Source organism: Homo sapiens, chromosome 5 (assembly GCF_000001405.40).
Source record: "Homo sapiens chromosome 5, GRCh38.p14 Primary Assembly".
Classification (NCBI taxonomy): domain Eukaryota; kingdom Metazoa; phylum Chordata; class Mammalia; order Primates; family Hominidae; genus Homo; species Homo sapiens.
This window is the reverse complement of record NC_000005.10, coordinates 178,628,204-178,651,884: the sequence shown is the minus strand read 5'-3', so window position 1 is coordinate 178,651,884 and position 23,681 is coordinate 178,628,204. Positions and strand designations below refer to the sequence as shown.

Below are 23,681 nucleotides of genomic sequence, written 5' to 3'. Positions count from 1 at the left end.
TGACTCTACATTAGAGGATGTTCAATGACTTATTATATTCCTTAATGGCACATTTTTGAAAAAAAGTTTGTTTTGTTTGCTTGCAAACATTCCTCTTATAGTAGCCTCAAATTAATGTATATTACTTTGTATATGAAAAGCTTCCCATCAAAACACTGAAATGCCACATGACGGTACAGAGGCCCTTACGATTACCTCTCACCTCAGCGGTATTCATGCTGATGACTCATTAACATCAGCATTAATGCTATTCTCTGTGTAAAGCTCATATTTTCATATAATCTGTTCCCAGAGAATCATCACTGTTAGCAAACAACAACGGTGCCAACAATAATAATAAATGAGACTAGTGGGGCTGCCAAAAAGGGCAGAAGATTCATGAGACTGGGATGCCATGGGACTTACAGCATGATGTCAACAGACACAGAAGATGAACTTTATTTATGATGGAAAAATCAAAAGGGATGGTTGTAGAAAGCAGGAATTATGACTGATGTCCCCAGAAGTGCCCCATGGGTACACAGGGGTTGGATGAAGCCCAGCAAGTGCAGTGAGGACTCTGCCAGGCACAGGATGCTCCCTTTGACTCTTGCTGGAGTTTTGATTTATTTCCTCCCCCACTATCTCCCCTCCATCCACCCCCATGACTGTTCTCAAGGATGACTGTGTGTTCACCCACTCACCAGATGCAACTAAATGGCACATGGTCAAAACGCCGATTAACAAAATGTTTGAACATATCTCATTTTTAAGCTGACAGATACCAATAAGGGTACCTGGGGAGGAGTGTATGGTCACAAATCTGTGGGCACACGTGTGTGGTGGACACATGTACATGAGTATACATATGTGCAAGTCTGTTACATCTGCATGTGTGTATTACTCCAGTGAGATACACTTTTGTCAAAAATGACATTACCAGGGGCACAGGGATGCCCTCTAGGACCTTGCTACTAAAATTGTGACCCTTGAACCTGGAGCAGCAGCAGCACACCACCTAGGAGCTTTTCATTTTTTAATTTTTTTACTTTTTAAACTTTTTTTCGTAGAAACAGAGTCTCAGTATGTTGCTCAGGCCAGTCTCAAACTCCTGGGCCCAAAGTGCTGGGATGATGGACGTGAACCACTGCACCCTGCCTTTGGAGCTTTTTAGAATGCAGACTCTCAGGCCCCAACTCATACCTACTGAGCCAGAACCTGGATTAACAAGATCCCTTACGCTTCATGTGTAGATTAAGTGTTGATCTAGAACAATATTTTTCAAAGAGCTTATTCGTGACTCATGAAATCATTTAGCCTGTTGTGACCAGCACTTAAAAGAAAGACAGAGAGAAGGAAATGGAAGAGGAGATAGAGAGGAGAATCAAAGCAAATCAAGAGGCGAGAACACATTGCACACAGAAAGGATCCGTATTGCTTCATGGACGTGTGGTTTCCAAGGTCACCATAGCAGAAGAGGAGAAAAGGAGGCCAAACACTGGCTCTTTATTGCCTCAACCTGAAAGTGATGCACCCACAGGCCATTGGCCAGAACTAGTCATGTGGATTCAGCCTCACTGCAAGGAAAGCTGGGAAATAGAGGCACTCATGGACGTTTGGTGAATACTAACAACTCTTCCACAGCCTGTGTGCTGGTTTTGTCTGTGAGGGCTGCTGTGGGATCACTAGCCAGGGAAGTAGTGCCTGGCACAGTCTGCCCTCATTAAATGTTTAGTGAATGAATAAATGTATATTTCCCATTAATTGAGATAGATGCGGAGATTACAAAAACAAATCTGATGTGGTTCCTGTTTTCGATGAGCTCTCAGGATTCTTCTTTCTTTCCCTCGTGTTTTAGGGGGAAACTGGCCTCTCTCCTCTTCAAAAGCTCCACTTGCCACCTGTGCCTCCCCTAAGAATGTCCTTTGGCCCTGTCTCCATCAACCGTCACTGTCTCCCTGACGACCCCCTTCCTCTCCACTGACAGGTTACCTCCTCTTGCTCTCCAAGCAGCCTCACATCTTCTCAAACCTGAAATAACCTCTCAGCATTGCTTCCCCTTCATCACTTTGCAACTCCCAATCACCCTCAACATACCACACCCAGGATCCTGGCCTCATCACTCGTACTTGATTAAAAATGCTTCCTCAAAGCTACTGGTGACTTCCTAATTTTTTAAACAGCTTCACTGAGCTGTATGTTTCATATACCATACACTTCACCAATGTGAAGTTCACAATTCAATGGTCTCTAGCATGTTTCTCTCACCACAAAAAGGAACCCCACACCCTTTAGCTTTCACTCCCCATACTCCCATCCTCCTCCCCTGACCCTAAACAACCGCTAATCCGCTTTCCTTCACTGTAGATTTCCCTGCTCTGTACTTTCATATGAATGGAATCATACCATGTATGGCCTTTTGTGACTGGCTTCATCCACTCGGCTTAATGTTTTCCAAGTCCATCCATGCTGTGGCATGTGTCAGCACGTCATTCCTTTTTATGGCTGAATAATATTCCACTGTGTGGAAAGACCACATTTTGTTTATCCATTCATCCATTGATGCACATTTGGATTGTTACACTTTTGGACTATAATGAATAGTGCTGTTATGAACATTCATGTATACGTTTTTTGTGAACATGTTTTCAATTCTCTTGGGTATATAACAGGAGTGGAATTGCTGGGTCATATGATAACTGTTTAATCATTTGAGCAACTGCCAGACTTTTCTAAAGTGGCTGCACTGCTTTACATTCTTATCCATGTGTGGAGGGTCTAATTTCGCTACATTTTTTTTTTTTGAGACAGAGTCTCACTCTTGTCGCCCAGACTGGAGTGCAGTGGCGTGATTTCGGCTCACTACAGGCTCCCCCTCTCGGGTTCACACCATTCTCCTGCCTCAGCCTCCCGAGTAGCTGGGACTACAGGCGCCCGCCACCACGCCTGGCTAAGGTTTTGTATTTTTAGTAGAGATGGAGTTTCACCGTGTTAGCCAGGATGGTCTCGATCTCCTGACCTCGTGATCCGCCCGCCTCGGCCTCCCAAAGTGCTGGGATTATAGGCATGAGCCACTGCGCCTGGCCTAATTTCACTGTATTTTGCCAACGCTTGATATTATCTAATTTTCATTCTAACCGTTCTAGTCGGGGAGGGAAAATTGTAGCTCGTTGTGGTTTAAATTTGCATTTCCCTGATAACTAGGGACTTTCTAATTTTTTTTTTAAAGTAGAGATGGCATCTCACTCTGTCACCCAGACTGGAGTGCAGTGGCACAGTAACAGCTCACTGCAGCCTCGACCTCCTGGGCTCAAGCAATCCTTCCACCCCAGCCCCCTGAGTAGCCGGGACTACAGGCATACTGAGCTAATGGACTTCCTAATTTTTTAAATCACTATCTTCTTATTTCCTATCTAACATAGTCTTCCTTTAGCTTTTCACACCACTCTTGATGCAATTCAGTTCCCTCCCTTATGCAGCTCCTGAGGTCTGCTCCTCTCTGGCATTCCCTTCCTGACTTTCTGGCCTCCTTCACGGACTCTTATTTCCACCCCACAAATTCTGTTGCTCCCAGGGCTTCGTCCTCAGCCCTGTTCTTGCTCTGCTGTGACCCTGCTAACCCTGTTCACCCCTGTGCCTCTCACCAGCACCCACATGGAAGACCCTTGAATGTAGACACTTCCCAGGTCTTAGTCCCCATTCCACTTCACACTATCCTTCATAGAAACTCAATGAAAAGTTCAATCCAATATCAATAAAGTGTCTATGACTAAGATGCACAGAAAATATTGTATACTATAATTAGTAATAATGATTCCTTCTTTCAAGTATCAGTTAAAAATAAGTAGATGGGCCAGGCGCGGTGGCTCACGCCTGATATCCCAGCACTTTGGGAGGCCAAGGCTGGCGGATCACTTGAGGTCAGCAGTTTGAGACCAGCCTGACCAACATGGTGAAACCTCCTCTCTACTAAAAATACAAAAATTAGCCAGGCGTGGCGGCGGGTGCCTGTAATCCCACCTACTAGGGAGGCTGAGGCAGGAGAATCACTTGAACCCAGGAGGCAGAGGGTGCAGTGAGCTGAGATCGTGCCATTGCACTACAGCTGGGTGTCAAGAGCAAAACTCCATCTCAATAAATAAATAAATAAATAAATAAATAAATAAATAAAATAAAAAATAAGTAGATGACTTGAGCCCAGAATCCCAGCTACTTGGGAGACTGAAGCGAGAGGATTGCTTGAGGACAGGCGTTCAAGATCAGCCTGGTCAACATAGTGAGACCCTGTCTCTACGAAAACTTTTTAAAAAAAAATTAGCCCAGCATGGTGGCACATACCTGTAGTCCCAGCTACTCAGGAGGCTGAGGCAGGAGGATTGCTTGAGCCCAGGAATTTGAGACTGTAATGAGCTATGATCATACCAATACACTCCACCCTGGGAAACAGAGAGAGATCCCATCTCTGAAAAACATTAAAAGGTAGATGGACACTAGTAATATTGAAAGAAATTCCCAGGGAAAAAGCATTGTATTATAGCATATTGTTTTCTCAGGTTCTTTATGGTATAAGGAGGCAGTTCACATTCTAGGCCAACGGTGAGTAAACTCGTGCTCAAAGAACCAGAGACTAAATATTTGAGGCTTTGCTGGCCACAAAGTCTCTGCCATAACTAATCAGCTCCACCTTTGTAATACAAAAGCAGCAGACGATGTACAAATGAATATGCATGACTATATATTTTTATCTTTTTTACTTTTTGCAAATTTTCAATACAGATAGGGTCTCACTATGTTGCCCAGGCTGGTCTCGAACTCCTGGGCCCAAGTGATCCTCCCACCTCGGCCTCCCAAAGTGCTGGGATTACAGATGTGAGCCACTGTGCCCAGCCATCATGACTATATTCTCATAAAACTTTAAAAACATCTGGCCAGCCAGTAGGCAGCACTTTATGGATCCCTGATTTAGCCATCACACCTGCGCTATACCCACGGGAGGAGGGCAAAGAACAGAAATGTACACCGTCTCCATTTAGGAACATTTCTACTTACTTGTTATTCCCTGGAACTAGTTACAAGGCCTTACCAATCTGCAAGAGTCAGAGACATACAATCTTTCGGCTAAGTGACTAGCAGCAGCTAACTATTGGGTAGGAGAACTACTACTGAGGAAAAAGGGGAGATTAGACATTAGGACTTTAGAAGTCTCCATATCAGTTAGCTAATTTTACAAGAGTGTGTATAACACCCCAAAACTCAGTTGCCCACAGTAAGCCTTTATTTCTCACTCACACATCTGCAGTGTGGCTGTGTTTGGCTGATCTTGGAGGGGCCCAGCTGGGTTTGAGTCCAAGCTGGGTTTTGGGTCTATGCTGGCTCCATGAGTCTCTCCTCCTCCCTGGACCAGTATGTATCCAAGGCATATTTTGGTTGAGGTGAAAGGCAGGAGTGTAAGAGGGGCATGGGAAACATGCAAAACACTGTAAGGCTTACGCAGTGGCCCACCGTCACTCTTACCTACATTTAATTGGCCAAGTGACATGGTTGAGGCCTGTACCAATAGAGCAGGGCATTATCCTCTTCCCATGGACGTTGATAGAGAAGGAGTGAATATTTAGTAAACAATAATGTAATCCACCATGCTCTTCCTCAACTAACAAAGGTGATTAAACATACTTATATCCACAGGATAACCCTGGTTTTTCCTGAATCCCTACGGTGTGTGTGCACACAACATAAGCGCACATGCACACACACACACACAAACAATAACAGAAAGCAGAAGATGACATATTCTAAAATCAAGAATATTAGATTACCATCACAACACTCCTCTATAGCTCCTGCATAACTAGTAATACTTTTCCTAGATTCATTTTACATTGAAATAAAGTGAGAACAGGTACTTTTATTAAATAATCAAACCCACTTATGTTGATTTAGTTTCTTTCTTTTCTTTTTTTGAGATGGAATTTCGCTCTTGTTGCCCAGGCTGGAGTGCAATGGTACAATCTTGGCTCACTGCAACCTCTGCCTCCTGGGTTCAAGTAATTCTCCTGCCTCAGCCTCCCGAGTAGCTGGGATTACAGGCATGCGCCACCACACCCGGCTAATTTTGTGTTTTCAGTAGAGATGGGGTTTCTCTATTTTGGTCAGGCTGGTATCGAACTCCCAACCTTAGGTGATCTGCCCACCTCGGCCTCCCAAAGTGCTGGGATTACAGGCATGAGCCACCACGCCCGGCCCGATACAGTTTCTTTTCTTAAGTCTCTCCAGTCACCTTTCCCTAGGCTTGAGGATTGGCATAGCAGGACAGAAGTTACGAGAACAATGCAGGCCCTGAAGAGAGGGCTCCTCTCCTTCAAGCTGTGGGGCATGTAAGGACATGGAGACGAGGACCAGTGGCAACAGAGTTCTTGGCAGAATTTCTTAAGTAGAAAGCATTTCTTATTTAGGGAAAATAAGATGAAGGTGCACAATGCCACTTCGTATCAAGGGTGGTGATGGAGCGGGGCCCACCCTGCACTAGATCCAGCCAGTTCTCCACATGTTCTAATTGGAAACCTGTGCCCCACAGTAGCAGATGTTTCCCAGCTCTTCCAACCACATTCCCCACAAAGTACTCTCTACCCTACAGGAAGGAGAACAGAAAGGACGGGAAGTGAGCTATTGGCTGTCAGGACACAAAGGCAGCTGCAACCTAGTTGAGGAGATCAGAAAGACCTACGTGATCCCCATCCAGCTAGAAAATGCTTGGGAGAGCAGGAGCTACCAAGCTCCCTTTCACTGAGCTTCCTCCACTCTCCCCTGAAATATCCTCTTCCTACCTCTCAGATTGCCACCCTTTCCCCATATGTGTCTGACAGCCGAAGTTTCCTGTGACTCAGCTCACAACATGACACTACCCCCGCCCTCCTTCTCAGCTACTTAAAAAGGCAAAGATTTTAACAGAGTCAGGTGGAAGAATATGCATCAACCCCAGCTGTAAGGATGAAGAAGCAAGCCAATGCTCCCATCACCCTTGCAATATCATGCATTACCATGATCCCTTCCCCTTCATTCACCATCACACACACACACACACACACACACACACACACACACACACACACACTGGGAGGGGCTGCAACCACTACCCCTTGTCACTCCCCAAAGGACCCACCGACCACCCCTGTCTTAGGCTCTGGCACACTGTCACTCCTACCCACATGTCTGATTATAGGCATGTCATCACAGCTGCTCTCAGTGAACAAGTTCATGTACACAGACGTCTCCATCTCCTCCTTCTGGGAGTAAAGCTCTCTAGGGATCCTTCTGCTCATCTACATGCCTTATAACTGACCCCCACGGTCGCTGTTCCAAACGTACTATGCCCCCAAATAGTAAACATGTTCTCTTCCCTGCTCTCACCTTTTCTCCCAGCAAGTCACCTCTGGTACCCTTCCTGATATTAGAGATGTTGTCCTTGTTCCAACGTCATGTCTCCAGTGCAGAAAAGGGCTTTTCAGGTCACCTTTGATGACCCCCAGACAGCCACCTGGTGTTCCTCCTTGAATCAAGGAATTTGCCTGCAGCAGCATGAAGGGGAATAAAAGAGTGAGGTGAGATTGGTGGGCTCCAGGTTTCCCACGTGTGACTCAACTAATCCCCAAACCTAAATTACAGGCTGGTGTGTAGAGCCTTCACCATGAAGGCCCTTGGCAAATATTTAGATTGGTTTTAAATAATCAAACAATTATTTATAGGAAGGCATAATAATTATATATATGTTCTCAGGATGAGTGGATAGCTGCTAGGTTTTCTTTCTTTTTTTAGATTGAGAGATATAATACATATACAAAAAGAGCAAATTAAAATATATGGTAGAAAGCAGGGCTCAACAAACTTCTTCTGTAACTAGCTAGATAATAAATACTTTCATCTTTGGCGGGCCATACATTCTGTCATAACTATTCGATTCTGCCACTGTAGAGGGAAAGCGGCTATAGACAAGAGGTAAGTGAATGGGTGTGGCTGTACTCCAGTAACACTTCACTTACAAAAACAGTCAGCAGGCCAGATTTGGCCTGTCTGGCCGTAGCTTTCCTATAGTGTCTTAGTCCATTTATGATGCTATAAGAAAATACCACAGACTAGGTAATTTACAAATAACAGAAATTTATTTCTCACCATTCTGGAGGTTGGAAATTCCAAGATCAAAGTACTGGCAGGTTGGGTGTGCCTGGTGTGGACCTGGTCTCTGCTTTCAAGATGGCGGCATGGACACTGTTTTCTTCGGAAGTGAGAAAAGCTGCATCTTCACTTGATACAACAGGTAGAAGGGGTGAACTCATCCCCTCAAGCCCTTTAATAAGGCACTAATCGATTCATGAGAGCACAGCCCTCATGGCCTAATCACCTCCTGAATGCTCCACCTCTTCATACTGTTGCTTTGGGTATTAAGTTTCAACATGAACTTTGAAGGAGACAAAAACTTTCAAACCATAGCACATAGAGTTGAAAACTCATAAAACAAATACAAAAGCAATCACTAAGCCAAGAAAGAGAACATGGCAAGTACTCACAGGACTTAGACATAAGAATAGTAGAATTCCAGAGAAGGTTGGATGCTCAACTCCAGTAGGTTTACTATGCCAAAGTCAGGATCCTAATTGGGAAGGAATAGGAGCCTGACACTGGAAATAGGGATATCTGTGTTGACGCACTAAAAAATCTTGCATTATTAGATTGCTCTGAACCTCCTGGGTCTGCAGAAGTGGCCCGTTCTTCCCTGTTAAAGGTCAGTGCTGCTTCCATGCTTGAAGATGTAAAGAAGATCTGGAGGCTTCTGCTTTAAAGGAAAGCATGCACCCTTCTCAGGATCAATCCCCTCTTCCCCAGTCCCAAGACCAGTAACTAGGGTCAAGCTACAACATAATCTGGCCAGGCAAGTGCTGGGCCTCTTAAGGGAAGGAAAGAACCGTAGGCAAAGGAACTGCAGGACCTTGCCAACAAGTACTTGCAGGACAGTTCTGCAGATGGCCTTGGACCAACCCAGTTCTCTCCTCTTTCTTACTTGCAGTTCTCAGGAAAAACCATAGAATGTGCTGGGAACACAACAATGTGAGATAAGGAGAAGCTGGCTGGAAAGGCCTGGGCTCTGTTCCAGTCCCCCCTACCCCAGAAACAGGATGTCCTTCAATGCCTTATTCCAGTGAGTCATGTTGCCCTGGGGCATAAAACCCAGGTTGCACTTTCTTCCATGGCCCTTTGGCTGCAGTCCAAGTGGAGCATACACACCACAGCAAGACTCCAATCCAACCTCAGGGGGCTTTCCTGAGCCCTGGGGATTAGCTTCCAATGAATCCTGGGCTTCCGTTGTCCCTTGCTTCCTATGAGTAAGTAACAAACCCTCTTCATGTAATTTATATGTGGGTGTTCTGTCTTACCAGATTCAGACAGTGTGGTAACTAGAGCACAGTGAACTTGCTTCACAGCACTGGCAGGAGCTGAAAGAGGAAACATGGGCTGGATCCCAAAGGTGCTCATTGAGAGCTGTGCAACAGAAGCCTGGGAGGGCGAGTTTATTGATACGGGAGCCCTCTGCTGTGACACAGGATCTAACACCGAGGCAAGGCCCCTGGGAGACAAAGCTAACGTGCTGCTACAGATGAAGCCTGGGGAAAGTGCCTGTCACCCTGCAGGAAGTGCAAATGCTGCAAATGCTGTGGAAAATGGCAGATGAGGGGAACATAAGACCCAGAAGGAGATATGCTAGAGGGTGTGCTCTACTCATCAGCTGACTCTGCCTTGTGAGAGGGCCTCGAAGAGGCTCCATCCTTCAAGGAGATAAGGAAAGTGCCGATGAGAAGGTCACCAGCATAACCGAGAAGCTCAGTGGGGGCCGTCCTCTGAGGCCAGCCATGACCATAGGAGAAGCTACTCGGGATTGAGACCCAGAGCGGGAAATGACTACGGAGCAGGTCTCAGCTTTGGTGTACACAGCCCTGTCCCTTGGGCTATAAAATCTGGAAGACCCTACAGTATTAGAGATATCTGTGATGTGGCAAAAACACCACGAGGAGAGTCTGTGCTTTGTTTCCCCACAATTCTACACTCTGTGGGTTGAGAGGTCTCAGGTCTCAGAGGGACGATGCAGAAAGACACAGAAAATGTCCCATTAAACTTCAAGCTACAGCTGACCTGTTGCCCATTCATTTGAGCGTCTTGTGCCGAGAGATTAGAAGGCAAGAAAAAGAGTCAAGATCCCGCCAGAGGTGACTAACCCTGATGATCAGGAGGAGGCCGGACTGCTGTTACACCATGGGGATGCGAAGGATAAGTGAGACACTGAGCAACCCATTCGGGTGATCTCGGTACCCTCTTTCCCAGCCTTTGTTTTTTTTTTTTTTTGAGACAGAGTCTCGCCCTGTCGCCCAGGCTGGAGTGCAGTGGGGTGATCTCAACTCACTGCAACCTCCGCTTCCTAAATTCAAGTGATTCTTCTGCCTCAGCCTCCCGAGTGGCTGGGATTACAGGTGTGTGCCACCATGCCCGGCTAATTTTTTTGTATCTTTAGTAGAGATGGGGTTTCACCATGTTGGCCAGGCTGGTCTTGAACTCCTGAGCTCGTGATCTGCCTGCCTTGGCCTCCAAAAGTGCTGGGATTACAGCCATGAGCCTCCATGCCCAGCCTCTTTCCCAGTCTTAACAGTAAATGGACAAGAAAGTAAGCCGTGGCCTGAGAAGGACGAGGTGACTAGAGGCTTAGAACACACAGGGTTGAGGGCCTGGGTTACCTTCCCAGATGAGCCGCCAAGACCAGCAAAGGAGCTAGCCACAGGTGCAGAGAATCTAAGCTGGAAAGTGGAGGGAGACAGTGGGTACCAGCTGTGGCCTGGAAACAAGCTGCAGCAGAAGGGGCCAAACCTCATCCCATTAACCCATCAGGAAAAGAGACCAGCCAGAAACCTGGAAGAGTAGCTCCAGATGGCAAGGGCTTACTGCAGTGGAAGGGTGGCCTGCAGTGGACACGGTGCTGTGCCGCCCATATCCCACTTCAGGACCAGTGCACTCACTGCTCTGGTTGCCAGCTTACAGATGAGTCATTGTCTAGAAACTGCCCTCAACCTAAGGAAGCTTCTTTCTCAAAGCTACATGCCTTCCCTGGGGTCAGCCTACCTCTAATGACTGGTCAACGTTGGAATATAAAGATCGGGACCTCCTAACTCAACTGGGATAACTGTGAAGGGTGACTTCAGACCCAGATTTCCTGAGAGGACCAGCTGAAGCAACACATGTGCTCACCTCAAGGTGCTCTTCCTGAGAATACTCCTTATGAAACTTCGTGCCACAAATATCAGAGTCTCGGAATCTTTTCCGGAGGCACCCGGCGTATGGAGATCTGTTCCTGGGCTCTCTGTTCTGTTCTGTTGGTTTACTTATCTATCCTTGTGCCGACATCATGCTGTCTTAGTCACTATAGGTTCACTACAATCTCTGTTAGAGCATGTGCTCTCGCCTTGTTCTTCTTCAAGTCACTTGGCGAGTCGTGGCTCTTTGTAGTTTTATCACTTTTTTTTAGAATCAGCTTCTCAGTTTCTACAAAAAGCCCCATTGGGATTTTGCTTATAATTGATCTAATGGATCAATTTGGAAAGAATAGGGGGCAGTATTTTTAATATTGAGTCTTTTACCCAGTGAATTTGGTATCTTTATGTAGGTATTCCTGAAGATCTCTTAGTAAAGTTTTATCATTCTTACCATAAGGTAAAATGGTAGAAATGATAAAACTTTGCTAAGATATATTGTTGACAGAAACATATTTGATTTTTTTACACTGATTTTATATCCATCAACTTTGCTAATGATTTACAGGTTATGTTGTGCATTTTCTCTTTCTTTCTCTCTCTTTTCTTTCTTTTTTTTTTTTTTTTTATTGAGACAGGGTCTGGCTCTGTTGCTCAGACTAGAGTGCAGTGGCACAATCTTGGCTCACTGCAACCTCTGCCTCCCAGGCTCAAGCGATTCTCAAACCTCAGCCTCCCGAGTAGCTGGGACTACAGGCCTGCGCCACCACGCCCAGCTAATTTTTTTGTATTTTTTGTAGAGATGTTGTTTCACCATGTTGTTCAGGCTTATCTCAAATTCCTGAGCTTAAGCTATCTGCCCGCCTCGGCCTCCCAAAGTGCTGGGATTATAGGAGTAAGCCATCATGCTGGGCCTTATTTTGCATTTTCTTTTTTCTTTTTTTTTTTTTTGAGATGGAGCCTCGCTCTGTCGCCCAAGCTGGAGTGCAGTGGTGAGATCTCAGCTCACTGCAACGTCCGCCTCCTGGGTTCAAGCAATTCTCCTGTCTCCGCCTCCCAAGTAGCTGGAATTACAGGCACGCGCCAACAGGCCCAGCTAATTTTTGTATTTTTATTAGAGACGGGGTTTTACCATGTTGAACAGGCTGGTCTTGAACTCCTGACCTCAGGTGATCCACCCACCTCGGCCTCCCAAAGTGCTGGGATTACAGATGTATTTTCCATTTTCTACACATGCAATGATAACATCCACAAATAATAACAGTTTTTTTTCTGCAATTCATTTATTTATCTTTCTTGTCTTAATGAACTAGATAGGCTATCCAGAAAAACATTGAGTAGCACTGAAAAAGGCTGAAGGTAAATGGAGAATAGCATAAGATATACCAGATTTTGTAAGGCCTTGTTGGCCGGAATAATGGTTTTAAATTTGTTTTAAATAAACTTAGAAAATTTTGATAGCTTTCTGTAGAGAAGTAATGAGTTCAGTATTTCTAAGACTTTTCCAACTTCTGGATGGATAATGAATTACAGGAGAATAAAGAGTGGGGGCCAATCTCATTCATGGACATAGACACAAAAAGCCTTTAAAAAATTGCAACAATGACCCAGAAAAGTATAGTATATAAAAGGTTTTTCCACAAAGTAGCTTAAAGTTAAACTCTAAATGTAATTTTATATTACTATAAAAATCATGCAATCATCTCAAAAGAAGAATAAAAAGCAAATAAAATGCTCACCAAGAATGTGAGTGTATGAATTTGAAATGGAAAGGAACCATCTCAATCTAATGAAAAGTTGCTATCAACACCTGTTACGGACAGCATTCTTAACAGCAAAATGTTAACAATATTTCTTGTAAGCTCTGACAAGACAATGTTGCCCACGATGACTGCTTCCATTTGTAGCTGTACTGGTCGCCTTAGGTAGCACAGTAACAGAAGAAAAATAAATAAGAGGTGTAAAGACCAAGAGGTGAAACAAGCCCATTATTATTTGCAGATGATACAATCTTTTACCTAGAAAGCCCCAAATAATTTAAAGACAGGAAATTAGACATGACGAGAGAATTTAGCAAGGTGACAACACATAGGATTAATATCTAAAAACCAGCAGCATTTCTTTACTCTAGCAACAGTTAAAACTGTGTGTCCAATCTTGTAGCCACTAGCCAATGTGGCTATTAGGCACTGAAAATGTAACTGGTTCAAATTGAGATGAGCTGTAAGTGTAAAATATATATCAGATTATAAAACCTTGGTACGAAAAAAAAAAAAAGAAAACAAAATACTTCATTAATAATACTGATATAGGCCAGGCACAGTGGCTCAGGCCTGTAATCCCAGCACTTTGGGAGGTAGAGGCAGATGGATCACCTGAGCCCAGGAGTTCAAGACCAGCCTGGGCAACATGGTTAAACCCCATCTCTACAAAATAATAATAACAATATTGATATAAATTACATGTTTAAATGATATTTTTGATATATTAGATTAAATTAAAACAGAAAATTTTGAATTATACCCATGGGGAGCTTCTAGAAGAACAGAGAGAGGACCTTTACACATTCTCTCCCAAAAGCAGCAACTAAAAAATAAATAGCAAATTACTAAAAACAATTACTTTGGAACTCTGGAAATTAAGCAAAGGCATACAACAAGCTGAAAATCATTTATTCAAGAGAAACTATTGAACCTTAGTAAGATCAACAAAGTGTGTGACACATCGTCTTAGAACTGCTCCCGTTCTCACTTCCCCCTGCCCTTGCCCCAGCTCCATGGTGCAGTGTTGGTGGGACTGGCTGCCTTACTGGTGCCAAAAGGGGCTGAAATGATTTGGAGCTTCAAGGAAAAGCTCTGTTTCCTTGGTTTTTTGAAAACAATAATATTTGGTAGCAATCAGAGGCCGGCAGAGCATGGAATCTCCTAAGGCTGTGATAACAGTTGGGGCAAGCAAGCAATCAGCAAAACATTTAAAAGGGAGATCTAGGGAACAAGACAGGCCCCAGTTTATACTCGCATGTGACCGACCTCGACACCCCGTACAAGCAGGAAGTGAAAGCTGAGGCAGATTTGTTAACCTGTTGAACGTTGAACACATTCCTCAACCCACACACAGGTTCCCTGGGCAATGGGTGGAAGCCTGGCCAGCTCAAATCGTTTAATCTTGTGTTAAAGAAAGAGCTGATGAAAGGGTCATCCCTTTAAGTATCAAGCAATTCTTAAAAGGGACAACCTTGCTTGTGAAAATAAAAAGAAACTCTGGCCCGGGAGCGGTAGCTCATGTCTGTAATCCCAGCACTTTGGGAGGCTGACGTGGGCAAATCACCTGAGGTCGGGAGTTCGAAACCAGCCTGGCCAACACGGTGAAACCCCGTCTCTACTAAAAATGCAAAAATTAGCCAGGCGTAGTGGTGCATGTCTGCAATCCCAGCTACTTGGGAGGCTGAGGCAAGAGAATTGCTTGAACCCAGGAGGTGGAGGTTGCAATGAGCCAAAACCATGCCACTGCACTCCAGCCTGGGCGACAGAGTGAGACTCCGTCTCAAAAAGAAAGAAAGAAAATAAAAAGAAGGCCGGGCACGGCGGCTCACGCCTATAATCCCAGCACTTTGGGAGGCAGAGGCAGGCGGGTCACAAGGTCAGGAGATCGAGATCATCCTGGCTAACACGGTGAAACCCCGTCTCTACTAAAAATACAAAAAATTAGCCAGGCGTGGTGGCAGGTGCCTGTAGTCCCAGCTACTTGGGAGGCTGAGGCAGGAGAATGGCATGAACCTGGGAGGCGGAGCTTGCAGTGAGCCGAGATCTTGCCACTGCACTCCAGCCTGGGCAACAGAGCAAGACTCCGTCTCAAAAAAATAAAATAAATAAAATAAAAATAAATTCTGAATTGTAATGGATGATTTTTATGACACTTGCCACTGCTATCTTTTGAAGTGGGTTTTGAAGAATTTTATTCTTTTACATAGATTTTGATCAAGAGATGTAAAATAATACTGAAGAATGGAAAGTTATTCCTTGAAAGATGGTATTATGTGCTTCAATGGATCAAATTGGAAGATCAGTTTTCAGTTATTAATTTTATGATAACAGATGTTCAATATATATGCAGTATGGATATATAGCTGTATATGTGTGTATACATATATAGCTCATATTAATGTTGAGAGTATTTTCTCATTAATGAGTTAATAGACAAGAGAATGAAACAAGTTGATACGACCACTGTAGAAACTATGTAACAATGCAAATGGAACGTAGATTGTAACTGCAAGGAATTTTATAAGCAAATTCTGCAAAACTAGGAACTGTTAAGGAGAGCCAAATCATCAGGGAAATACAATTAAAGAGAGAGCACTTAGATACTTAGAATTTATTTCAGATAGGAGGCCGGGCACCGTGGCTCACACCTGTAATCCCAGCACTTTGGGAGGCTGAGGCGGGCAGATCATGAGGTCAAGAGATCGAGACCATCCTGGCCAACAAGATGAAACCCGTCTCTACTAAAAATACAAAAAATTAGCCGGGCGTGGTGGCCGGTGCCTGTAGTCCCAGCTACCCGGGAGGCTGAGGCAGGAGAATGGCATGAACCTAAGAGGCGGAGCTTGCAGTGAGCTGAGATCGCGCCGCTGCACTCCAGCCTGGGCGACGAGCAAGACTCTGTCTCAAAAAAAAAAAAAAAAAAAAACAGGATTGACTGTGTATAAATATTTATTGGGGTGAACATATTTCCACAACATACTGAGAAGAAAAGTTATAACATCAAACTTAACTAAAATCTTGAAAGTGTTACCAAAACTAAGGCTGATTTGATAAAGTTTTATTGGAAGCCAAATGTGAGGATTGACCTGGGAAGACACACCAAGAAGGCTGGCACATTCTAGAGTGTGCTACAAGGTGGAAGGCTTTTATAAGAAAGTTTAGGAGAAGGGAGTGGACTCCTTCCCAGAGGAGTTGTACCCTCTGCATTGGAGGGTACAGTATAGAGATTACAATCATTGGCTACAGATGACTGCATGCAGGCTACAATGTTCTACGTGCAGGACAATCAGTAAAACTTCAGGATTCAGAAACAAATCAGTGTCTTGTTCAACGTCAGTGGGTTATGCATTAATTAGTATGTCAAGAATCTGAGGAACTCACAAGAAGATTCTTTGCTCAGGACAGAAGTTCATCAGGAACCACAAGTCCTCCCCAGGCAGGTTAATTTGGAAGCCTGCCAAATATGACCTGTAGGTATTAGAAGAATTCCCTTCGCAAACAGTGATAAGGCAAGGATGCCCATTATCATTACTTCTAAGGGAGACAAGGTGGTAAAATAGGAAAAAGAATATAGCCCTTGGATCTAGAAAAACTCTCACTGGTGGTGAACTGGAATGAGTTCCAGGTGGAGGTGAAACATTGGCTGATGCAGTAGCTGGAGGCACTCGAATAGCATGGGGGCAATGGCAATTATAAGAATTGTGTAAGAGTTGTCTGCTTTTGGTTATTTTTAAAACTTTGAGGCCAGGCTCAGTGGCTCACACATGTAATCCCAGCACTTTGAGAGGCCAAGGTGGGCAGATCATTTGAGGTCAGGAGTTCGAGACCAGCCTGACCAACATGGTGAAACTCTGTCTCTACTAAAAATGCAAAAAAATTAGCTGGGCGTGGTGGTGCATGCCTGTAGTCCCAGATACTCAGGAGGCTGAGGCAAGAGAATTGCTTGAACCCAGGAGGCAGAGGTTGCAGTGAGCCGAGATCATGCCACTGCACTCCAGCCTGGGTGACAGAGTGAAACTCCGTCTCAAACAAACAAACAAACAAAAAACTTTGAAGAAGGAAAATGACAAGCTCAGGTCAGTCAATTGTAAGTTAAAGCACATTGTAGAGACAGAAGGCCTGTTGCGGCCATAGGGAACATTGTGTTGAAAATCAGACCAAGGATTTAGCTGTCGGGTGGCAAAGCTGCAGAGGAAACGGAATGCCGAGCCTCAGTGGTCTCCTATTCCAAGTTCAGACCTCTGAGAAGCACATCTCCAGTGTGTTTCATATATTGTCCTTCCAATCTTTCCTCAAGTCACTTACTCAGTCGTACACGTGGCCTTGAAAATATGTAGGGTAGTTGTGGGTTTTTAAATATCCGCAAAAATGGTTTTGTAAATCGCGAGTTTTTTTCTCCACTCAACATTAAGTTTCTTAGGTCTGTTCATATGCTATACATAAATCTAGTTCATAGCTTTTAACCGATATGCAGTATCCATATATATTTTCTAGTTATTCATTCCCCTAATGATGGATCTCTACTTTGTTTCCAAGTTTTTCTTCCTATGACAAACAAAACTTCCATGAGCATGCTCACAATTTCCTCATGGAGTTCAATGAGACTCGCAGGAGGTTTTTATCCCATCCTTCACATGTCTGGCTTCCCCTTTTCCTTTAGCTTCAACTAAAACGTTACAGCTGCCAAGAGCCCTTTTCTGAGCAGCCCACCTAAAATAAGCCATCCTCAGTTATTCTTTCAGTCTCTAGTTTGTTTCTTTCATAGCACATGTAAAACATTGAAGTATTTTATTTATTTCCATTTTTTTCTCTCTCCCACTACATCCTAACCTCCATGGCGATAGGCACTTTGTCTTATATACTTTTGTATCTTTAGCGTCTAGAACAGTATGTGGCATACGTAAGTGCCCAATAAATACAGAAGGAAAGAAGGAAGGAAGGAGGGAGTCTGTCGGTCAGCTGGAGTGCAGTGGTACCATCTCGGCTCACTGCAACCTCTGCCTCCTGGGTTCAAGCAATTCTTGTGCCTCAGCCTCCTGATGTAGCTGGGATTACAGGTGTGTACCACCATGTCTGGCTAATTTTTCTAATTTTAGTAAAGACAGGATTTTGTCATGTTGGCCAGGCTGGTCTCAAACTCCTGGAATCAAGCAATCTGCCTGCCTCGGCCTCCCAAAGTGCTGGAATTAACAGGCGGGAACCACCATGCCCAGCCAAAAGGAGAGAGTTCTTGAAAGAAAATTTGAGAATGATTCAAAGGAACTTGGTTGGTTGGGACCTAAGGAGAGAAAGGCCAGTAAGAGATGACCCTATTTAATGGGGAATGATTTGGCACCTTCAGAATTGTGAATTCTGATACTAAATTTTAAGCTGTTTTCACTTCTGTGCTGTACCCACCCTCCAGTATCTCAGTCCCCTCTTATCGTCAGTGATATGTTCCAAGACCCCCAGTGGGTGCCTGAAACCACAGACAGTACTGAACTCAGTTGGCATCGATTGGAATACGTTTCTGTTCATGTCTCCCACCCACAAATGTAATCCCTTTTCCATCTTCACTAAGCACTCATCAGGCACTGTGGCTATAACTTATGCAGTTTGAGGTACAATAGCAAAACTAGCATGAATTTCTTTTTCCTTCACAATTTTACAAATAGAAGACTTGCTCTCGTTGTAGATCTTGGCAATCTCAGGATATGATTTTACTTTCTTTCCTTAAGTCGAGAACTTTCACCTTTCCACTTTAACGAAGCACTTTGCAGCCTCTCTTTGGCATACCCAAATTGCCAGCATCACTACTGTCGTGCATTGGGGCAAGAATTATTATGAATAAGGGGTACTTGAACACAAGCACTGTGATATCCTCCCAGTGGATCTGACAACCCAGATGGCTACTACGTGACTGTCAGGTAGGGGATACAGCAGGGATACACCGGACAAAGGGAGGATTCACCACACGGGCAGGAGGGAGCCAGGCAGTGCAAGATTTCACGAAACTACTCCCGACAGTGTGCAATTTAAAACATATGAGGTTTTATTTCTGGAATTGTCCATTTAATATTTTCTGACTGCAGTTGACTGCGGGTAACTAAAACCATGTGAGGTGAAACCGAGGATAAATGGGATGACATGGCTGGCTCTGGGTCCTCACCCAAATCTCATCCCAAATTTTAATCCCCTTAATCCCCACGTGTTGAGAGAGGGACCAGGTGGGAGGTGATTGGATCATGGGAGTGGTTTCCCCCATGCTGTTCTCCTGATAGCAAGTGAGTTCTCACGAGATCTGATGCCTTTATAAGTGTTTGACAATTCCTCTTTCACACACACTTCTCTCCCCTGTTGCCTTGTGAGGAAGGTGCCTGCTTCCTCTTCTGCCATGAGGCCTTCCCAGCCACGCAGAACTGTGAGTCAAACTTCTTTCCTTTATAAATTACCTAGTTTCCAGGAAGTTCTTTATAGCAGTATGAAAACGGACTAATACAAGGAGACTCTTGCATCCTCAAAGTTTTAAGCCTATTCCTCATTAAAGCTATGTATTAATAGGCTTTGGGAAATAAAGGACAAAGGATCTGTGTCCATAGTTGGCACAAAACTTTATGAAGTAAGGACAGCAATTGCAGATGAGATAGTATAGGGGAACTGAGAGATGGAACCAGAACAGAAATCAGAGTAAGCCGTGATGGGGGCTACCAGAAAAGTTAATAGCCTCTCCAGAAGTCATCAGAATACTCTGAAGGATGCTGTACTTCCTATAATTACATGAAATAGGACATTGATATTTATACATTAAAATAAAGAGTAACCCTAGAAGATTGAGAGACAAATATGTTACATATTTTCATACTTTTATGTAGGATTCTACAATGTTCCTTAAATATTTAGGATTTAGGTAAATATACTTTCTCTTTAATGGTTTCATTGGATGGTTGAATAGTAAACCCTAATTTACTAATGTGAATGAGAAATGGCCTCTAAAGCTGGGCGCGGTGGCTCACGCCTGTAATCCCAGCACTTTGGGAGGCCGAGGCGGGCGGATCACGAGGTCAGGAAATCGAGACCATCCTGGCTAACACGGTGAAACCCCGTCTTTACTAAAAAAAATACAAAAAATTAGCTGGGCATGGTGGCGGGCGCCTGTAGTCCCAGTAGTCCCAGCTACTTGGGAGGCTGAGGCAGGAGAATGGCATGAACCCAGGAAGCAGAGCTTGCAGTGAGCCGAGATCGCGCCACTGCACTCCAGCCTGCTCTTGCAAATGTCTCTGTATATCCAGGCTTGTCCAACACAGACCTATAGATTGTCCAAGACAATCACAGTCTTTAGTCTGATATCTGATCTACAATGATAACACAGTCAACCAGGAGACTTTTATAAGAAGGTTTAAATGCTGGGGGAAAATCACTAAGTAGATTCGTCAGAGAAAACACATCTGGGAAAATTTTTTCAATGTGATTTGAATCAGATCAGTGTTGGGGTACAATGACATAGGGTAATAAGTGACAGACATTAGGAAATCAATAAGACATTTTAGGGACTGCTCTGAAACCCAGGGACTCCACATCAAGCCAATAATTGAAGTTGACAGAAACAAATCTCAGTTCAATTCCTGATTTTCTATATCAATGGAGAGGGATGATATGGCTAACCCACTGCAGCTAAGAACCCATTACTGAGTCTGCTTAAATTGTTACTTCCTCTTTCAAGGGCGTTTGGGCATGAAATGGCAGGACATATGTTAAATTGTTGATATGCTACAGTTTCTAGAACCAATAGCATGAGAAGTCCTGAAGGTTACTGCAGTCTGTGTGGCAGTTGTATCCAAAAGGCACATTCGGCTGTGACTCAGCTCTGAGACCCTTTCCTTGGTGGTAGCAGAAACTGACAAGGAGGCTGGAAAGACCAGCCTATCATATTCCCCTACACAACCTCTGAGCTAAATCCCTCCCTGGACCCTTCCACTCCCCACCTCACATGTACACTGCGAAGTGTGCTGTGAACCAGAGAATGCTTCTAGCACCGTTTGGTGCCACTGAATCTTGCTTTATAGATCAGGAAACACTGGAGGCAGCTGGGATGTTACTCATCTGGGACAGTGTGGGATGCCTGGGAGACCCTTTGTGACTCAGTGTTAAATAGCAAATAAGGCACTGAGACTTTTAGTGACCTTGATGTGCTGGAGATAAACAGATCCATTGTGTCATCGTGAAAAGCCTTCAATGATATATTACCTTGGAGAGTGGTTTTTTAAGACACACCTTTGATCTTGCTGAAAGATGGACTCAGCATGTTTGCTCTAATGACTAAGTGAAGTAAGTTGCCACGTACTTTGTTGTGTAAGTTGAAGCAGTCAGTAGAAAGGATTAAATGCAAGAGCTTTGGAGCAAGCAAGATCTGGGTCTGAATCCTGATTCTGGGACTTGATAACTGATCTAGGGCAGATAACCAATGATCACTTGATAGGATTCAGATGATTAAATGAGATCATGTATATGAAGTGGTTAGCATAGAATGAGCATTTGATAGCTAAAAGCAAGTCTAATTAGTAAGTATCAGTAACCAGCAGCTAATAACAGAGGCTATAACTGCAAAGGTTTATACCTTTGTAAAGGTTACTCTATACGGTAATAAGCTTTTGTTTAATTTACACAATAATTTAGACTTTTACTCTAAAACCTGGCTCTCATATATGAGTGTTTTTGATGTCTGAAGTTAAGCATGTCGTATACATATCCTAGAATATGTGATAAGAATATTCCTTTGGTTGCTCTTCAAAGCTAAAAATTTCTTTTTTTTTTTTTTTTGAGACAGAGTCTTACTGTTACCCAGGCTGGAGTGCAGCGGCACGATCTCAGCTCACTGCAGCCCCGCCTCCTGGGTTCAAGCGATTCTTCTGCCTCAGCCTCCTAAGTAGCTGGGGGTACAGGCACCCGCCACCATGCCCAGCTAATTTTTGTATTTTTAGTAGAGACGGGGTTTCACCATATTGGCCAGGCTGGTCTCGAACTCCTGACCTCATGATCCGCCTGCCTCGGTCTCCCAAAGTGCTGGGATTACAGGCGTGAGCCACCGTGCCCAGCCAAAAAAATTCTTAAACTAGTTCTTTTTGTTTTTGCTTTTGAGACAGGGTTTGGCTCTGTCACCCAGGCTGGAGTGCAGTTGCACGATCTTGGCTCACTGCAACCTCTGCCTCCTGGGCTCAAACCATCCTCCCACCTCAGCCTCCCGAGTAGCTGGGACCACAGCCATGCACCACCATGTCCAGCCAATTTTTTTTCTGTATTTTTTGTAGAGATGGGATTTCACCATGTTGGCCAGGCTAGTCTTGAAATCCCAGGCTCAAGTGATCCACCCACCTCTGCCTGCAACCTGAGATTACAGGCGTGAGCCACTGTGCCCAGCCTTTGACTAGCTGCTTGGACACATCAGTTAACTCAAAGGTTTTTTTGGACATACTGTTCTTGTGTAGAGATGAAACCACTGGATTAGGCAGTGTTTCTGGTATTGGTAGTAGATTCTCAGAAATTTAGATAAACCTTTTCATTAAGTCTTGCCAGGTAACTGACTTAATAGGAAGGGTTGAGGCTGCCACGAAAGGGTGGTAAGCTAACTGGTGCAGTGATGCTGGGATGAAATGTCTACCTTTAACTTACTCACTTTGACCTTAAACCAACTGAGCAAAATGGCCCAAAGCAGCTTATGTAAACAACCTACAAATATTTACTGGGTTCTAGGCCTGAGATACCAAAGACAATATAAATCAGGTCCTTGTCTCCAAACTCAGCACAAAGCCACAGAGAGTGACTAGGGGCACCATAGTGCTGCATCACATAGCATAGAGGTGCTAGTCATTCTCAGCTTCCTTCTGATCACTACACACTTTTAAACATTAGACCTTTTGGTGGCATACAAATTAAAACACTAAAGCGAGATGAATGTAATTACAAAGCAGACTCTACTATTGGGTAACAGTGTGTGTGACGTCTATAATATAAAGGCCTCTGTAGGTGGCATTTCAAGTGGCTGCTTTTTAACATAGTGTTGCTTTTTTGAGCAGAATTGTGGGCTGTCCTGACCACACTTTCTTATAACCCCAGGAGGCAGGATCTCTCCTACTCCATGAAACAGGAGAACATTCTTTGGTGCCAGCTTGAATTTACATTCTCATATGCTGCAATTTGAGCCCCACTCTACCTTGTATTATCGCCCAGACCAGTCAGCTCAACATTCTATCTAATAGATTCCCTTGAGACGGGATGTGTAATCAATTGTAGAACCAATACATTTCACTCTTTGGGCAAAATCTGTTAGCATACCAGGTGGCTCCAAATACTCCACTATTTGAGGACTTCACATCTAACTGGAGTAGTCAGGAGCCGGGAAATGGGTGGGAACTCATGTCAGAGACAGCATCTTAAAGAAATGGCCTTTCAAGGATGAGTAAGATTTAAATTTGTAGATGCAAAAATGGTGGCTATTCTAGATGAAAATAATATCATTTGTTTCATTCTGTAGCATAAAGAGTTTACCCTTCCAGTTTTCCAAGTTTCTTTTCAACTTCGCTTCTTGGAGTGCAATCTCCATGAAAATTCAACTTACTTTTTGAAATGCTGTACAATCTCCGAGATTTATCTAAATTTACCCTACTTACCCAAACCAGAT

The 23,681-nt window shown here is 44.0% G+C and overlaps 3 annotated features.

Moving 5' to 3' along the window:
* Window positions 7,331-8,530: an enhancer, noted in NCBI's record as "BRD4-independent group 4 enhancer chr5:178070356-178071555 (GRCh37/hg19 assembly coordinates)". NCBI's record gives its function as "activates an origin of replication core promoter dependent on BRD2, P300/CBP, MED14 and CDK7 cofactors, and independent of BRD4, by STARR-seq in HCT116 cells {active_cell/tissue: HCT116}" and the evidence as "EXISTENCE:reporter gene assay evidence [ECO:0000049][PMID:35650434]".
* Window positions 20,600-21,799: an enhancer, noted in NCBI's record as "P300/CBP strongly-dependent group 1 enhancer chr5:178057087-178058286 (GRCh37/hg19 assembly coordinates)". NCBI's record gives its function as "activates an origin of replication core promoter dependent on BRD2, BRD4, P300/CBP, MED14 and CDK7 cofactors, with strong dependence on P300/CBP, by STARR-seq in HCT116 cells {active_cell/tissue: HCT116}" and the evidence as "EXISTENCE:reporter gene assay evidence [ECO:0000049][PMID:35650434]".
* Window positions 21,043-21,337: a silencer, noted in NCBI's record as "tiled region #2786; K562 Repressive DNase unmatched - State 20:ReprD". NCBI's record gives its function as "represses a minimal TATA promoter and a strong SV40 promoter by Sharpr-MPRA in K562 cells {active_cell/tissue: K562}" and the evidence as "EXISTENCE:reporter gene assay evidence [ECO:0000049][PMID:27701403]".